The sequence below is a fragment of the Homo sapiens genome, chromosome 10, assembly GCF_000001405.40.
Source record: "Homo sapiens chromosome 10, GRCh38.p14 Primary Assembly".
Classification (NCBI taxonomy): domain Eukaryota; kingdom Metazoa; phylum Chordata; class Mammalia; order Primates; family Hominidae; genus Homo; species Homo sapiens.
In genome coordinates this window covers 44,425,608-44,430,585 of record NC_000010.11, presented here as the reverse complement: position 1 = coordinate 44,430,585, position 4,978 = coordinate 44,425,608, and the positions used below count along the sequence as shown (strand labels likewise).

The window sequence follows — 4,978 nt, the reverse complement described above, 5'->3', positions numbered from 1 at the left end:
CATTATGAACATGTTACAGTGCTGCAGAGATTTTGTTTATGGCCAGTTTTGGGGCCAGTTTATGGTCAGATTTTGGGGGGCTTGCTCCCAGCATATATCTTAAGGTAATAAAAGCCAACTATGAGAAGCCCACAGCAAACATTATACCAAATGGGGAAAAGTTGAAAGCATTCCCCCTGAGAACTGGAAAAAGACAAGGATGCCCACTTTCACCACTTCTATTCAACATAGTACTGTAAGTCCTAGCCAGAGCAATCAAACAAGAGAAAGAAAACAAGGGCATCCAAATCCATAAAGAGGAAATCAAACTGTCGCTGTTTGCTGATGATATGATTGAATACCTAGAAAACCCTAAAGACTCATCCAAAAAGCTCCAAGAACTGATAAATGAATTCAGCAAAGTTCCAGGATACAAAATTAAGTCGATAAATTAGTAGCTCCGCTATACGCCAACAGCAACCAAGCTGAGAATCAAATCAAGAAGTCAACCCCTTTTACAATACCTGTGATAAAAATAAAATAATTAGGAATATACCTAATCAAGGAGGTAAAAAAACTCTACAAGGAGAAAACTACAAAACACTGCTGAAATGCACAAATGAATGGAAACACATCCCATACTCATGGATAGATAGACTTAATATTGTGAAAAGACCATACTGCCAAAAGCAATCTACAAATTCAATGTGATTCTCATCAAAATACCACCATCATTCTTCACAGAACTAGAAAGAAAATTCTAAATTTCATATGGAGCCAAAAAAGAGCCCACATAGCCAAAACAAGACAAAGCCAAAAGAACAAATCTGGAGGCATCACATTACCTGACTTCAAACTAAGCTATACTATAAGGCCATAGTCACCAAAACAGCATGGTACTGGTATAAAAATAGGCACATAGACCAATGGAGCAGAATAGAGAACCCAGAAATAAAGCCAATACTTGTAGCCAACTAATCTTTGACAAAGTAAACAAAAACATAAAGTGTGGAAACCACACCCTATTCAACAAATGGTGCTGGGATAATTGGCAAGCCACGTGTAGAAGAATGAAACTGGATCCTCATCTCTCGCTTTATATAAAAATCAACTCACAATGGATCAAAGACTTAAATCTAAGTCCTGAAAACATAAAAATTCTAGAAAATAACATCAGAAAAACACTTCTAGACATTGGCTTAGGCAGAGACTTTATGACCAAGAACCCAAAAGCAAATGCAACAAAACAAAGATAAATTGATGGGACTTAATTAAACTAAAAATCTTCTGCACAGCAAAAGAAACAATCAGCAGAGTAAACAGACAACCCATATTGGGAAAAATATCTTCACAATCTATACATCTGACAAAGGACTAATACCCAGAATCTTCAAGGATCTCAAACAAATCAGCAAGAAAAAAACAAACAACCCCATCAAAAAGTGGGCTAAGTACATGAATAGACAATTCTCAAAAGAAGATACACAAATGGCCAACAAACATATGAAACAATGCTCAACTTCATTAATGATCAGGGAAATGCAAATCAAAACCACAATGCGATACCACCTTACTCCTGCAAGAATGACCATAATCAAAACATCAAAAAATAATAGATGTTGGTGTATATGTGGTGAAAAGGGAGCACTTTTACACCGCTGATATGAATGTAAACTAGTACAACCACTATGTAAAAAAGTGTGGAGATTCCTTAAAGTACTACCATTTGATACAGCAGTCCCACTACTGGGTATCTACCCAGAGGAAAAGAAGTCATTATATGAAAAAGATACTTGCACATGCATGTTCATAACAGTACAATTTGCAATTGCAAAAATATGGAACCAACCCATCAATCAAAGAGTGGATAAAGAAATTGTCTTATTTATATAATGGACTACTACTCAGCCATAAAAAGGAATGAAATAATGATATTCATAGCAACCCAGATGGAATTGGAGACCATTATTCTAAGTAAAGTAACTCAGGAATGGAAAACCAAACATCGTATGTTCTCACTCACAAGTGGGAGCTAAGCTATGAGGGTGCAAAGGCATAAGAATTACACAATGGACTTTGGGGACTAGGGGAACGGGTGGAGGGGTGGTTAGGGATAAAAGACTACACATTGGGGACAGTGTACACTGCTTGGGTGATGGGTGCACAAAAGTCTCAGAAATCACCACTAAAGAACTTTTCCATGTAACCAAACACCACCCGTGCCCCAAAACCCTATTGAAATTAATTGCCCTCCCACCCTTCCCTTCCTCCTAGAGGGTGAAGATGCAGACAAGAGCTGGGGGACCTCTCCTGGCAGAGGTTCAGCCTCTAATGGGAGGCCCTTTCCAACCCAGGAGGGGCACAGAACAGTAACTGGAACTGTGGTCAAGTGGATGTGGTCACACCTCTTTCTGCTTGCTTCCTGGTGGATGACCTCACCCTGGCAATTTCCTTGCCTGGAACCTCAGTTTCCCCATATTTTAAGAAAGGGTTGACAATATGCAGCTGGTCTCCAGGCTGTAAAGATTCAGCTAGACACATTCAGGGCCCCAGTGAGATGTGATTGTCCTCTCTTTCAAGAGGCTGAGAGACTCACTGGGAGCCCTGTGGGCTGGGGCCACTCCTGCCCTCCAGTACCTGCTCCATCTTTCACCAGCAATCTCAGAGCAAATGCTTAAGGAAAAGTCAGGAGGCTGTTGGCATTGAGGGAGACCAGGAGGAGCCTCTGACTGCCCTCACAGAGGGATGAGGGTGCAGCTGCAAAGCCAGCTGTGAACCCAAGTCCTGCAACCCCAGAAAAAGGGAGGGAAGGAGGTCCAGGAGCTCAACAGAGAGGGTGACTGAGGAGGCACCCAGGCCCTACATGTGGCCCCAGGTCACCTGAGAGTGGTAACTGGTCCTTCAGCCCTGTGTGTCTTTCCTCCCACTCTTGTCTCATCCAAAGATTCCCTGGGACTTCCCTGGAACAGGCCTGTGAGGGGACCCAGGCTTGACCACCAACCGCTTCAGGGACCCCTGGGCCTCCTCACCTCGCACAGTCTTGCAGGGAGCAGCAGGAGGTCCAGGACCTGGAGTTTGAGGATGGGCAACACCAGGCCAGGTGAGAAACCATTTCCATCAGTCCTCTCTCCTGGGACCCTTACCCCTTCAGCGGCTTCCAGGACTGGGATTTCTCAGAGCATGTGCAGCTCCAAAACTGCCCTGCAGGAAATGGCTCCAGCCACATCCCAGACTGAAGCTACCTTCAAAGACCCCCAAGCTCCAAGTGGCACACCTTGAACGTGAGGCCTGCATGGAGAAAGGCTTCCTGCATCTTGGCTTAAACAGCAGCTCCCAGCAAGGGTTGGCTTCCTCAGAGCAGGACCAGCCTCTCTGCCAGCACGTAGAGCCCAAGACAGGTCCCGAGGGCCAGACATAGCTCTGAGGGTCAGGACAGCCAGGTAGGACAGGGCCAGGAAAACTGATCTCTCTCTGAGGTACCCCCCACCAGACGTCCCCAGGACACTGTGAGATGCCAGGTCAGCCTCCATCTGCAGTCGTCATGATGTCCATACTGCATCCAGTAGAGTGCACAGTATGTATAAGACAAGGGGTGCTCAACCACTGGGTGCTCAGGGCTGATCTAAGAACATAGTGGCCTTTTCCCACTAGCAGAACTGATGTTAGCTCAGCCCCTCCCACACCCCACATGAGGAGCTGGGTGGCCCGAGGTCCCCAGCCCTCCACACACCCAACTCAGCACGGCAGGCTTCCTATCTGCTCACAGTCCTGTGACCTATTTCCAAACTTTGGTCACAACCTAAGATGTGAGTGACCAAGTTGAAGACAGGAATGGGGCCTCTGGGCTCTTTGGAGCTCCTTGGCCCACATCCCACACAGCCTTCCCTGAGTGCCAAAGCCCACTATGGCCCATGTTCCAGTGGGTTGTGAAAAGAGGGAGGGAGGGAGATAGGAGCCTAGAATCTGCCAAGATCAGAAACTTACAGCTGACAGGCCAGAGACCAGAAGGCACTCGTGGGAAAGGGCCAAATACACAAAGCCAGCAAAAAGGCATTCCCTCATTATGGTCCCTGAAGTCCAGGTAGCCCCAGTGTTCCCAAAACCTGCTGCAAAGGCCAGCCAGGCACCGCACTCCCGCTTCCAACAGCCTGTGCCCTTAACTGTCTGCTCAGGTATTCCCGTGTCCACAGTCCTGCCCGAGACACCTGACTAGGTGGCATGGTGGAGCTAATGTGTCCTGCTTTGGGCATTGCAGAAGGGCCTGGAGAGAGGCAGATGGCACCCCAGAGGTACCCAGGTCTCCTGGGCCTTCTTCACTGCAAGAACCGACATAAGCAGACACTTGGCAGCCACAGGCTCTCCCTGGGATCCTCTCATCTTTACTGAAGAAAAATGGAGATGAAATGAGATGTGAGCCCAGTTCTGCTTCTCCTCCCCAGGAGCCAGGACAGGATGGCTTTCCCATAGGCTCCCGGTGCAGTCCTGCCTGTGCGCTCCCCACAAACACCACACCACCAGACCAGCCACAGCAGGAGCCACTCCACTGTCAGCACTCCCAACCCCAGAGCTGACACTGAACTCCTGTCCCATCCCCACAGCTGGGTCTCTCTGTGAGGTGGACAAGGCCAACCTGGGGGCAGGGGGCTCTAAGAGAAGTTGACAGGGGGATTCTGCACCTTCTAGTAGGACATCCAAATGAGACATGGAGGAGAATGGTTGTTATGAGGAGCCAACAGGGGCAGGATGGAATTGATATCCAAGAAGGGAAGCCCACGTCCATCTACACTGCCCAGGTGCTAGAGACTGTGCCGGGCTGTGCCACAGGTGCCATGTACTGCAGCGACTGTGAACAGCTGTAAGGTGGGCATTGCCCCGACCACATTCACAGAGGAGAAAACTGACAAAGGGAGCTCGAACGCCCACCCAGGGTCATGCATCTGGTGAGGGCTGAGCCATGGCTGTCCCCCAGGGACCCTCAACCACAAAGCCATGCTCTTCC

At 47.8% G+C, this 4,978-nt stretch overlaps 1 annotated feature.

Annotated features, from left to right (window-relative positions):
• Window positions 4,500–4,674: a silencer, noted in NCBI's record as "fragment chr10:44921360-44921534 (GRCh37/hg19 assembly coordinates)". NCBI's record gives its function as "represses an EF-1alpha promoter that drives an FKBP-Casp9 reporter gene in an ReSE screen in K562 erythroleukemia cells {active_cell/tissue: K562}" and the evidence as "EXISTENCE:reporter gene assay evidence [ECO:0000049][PMID:32094911]".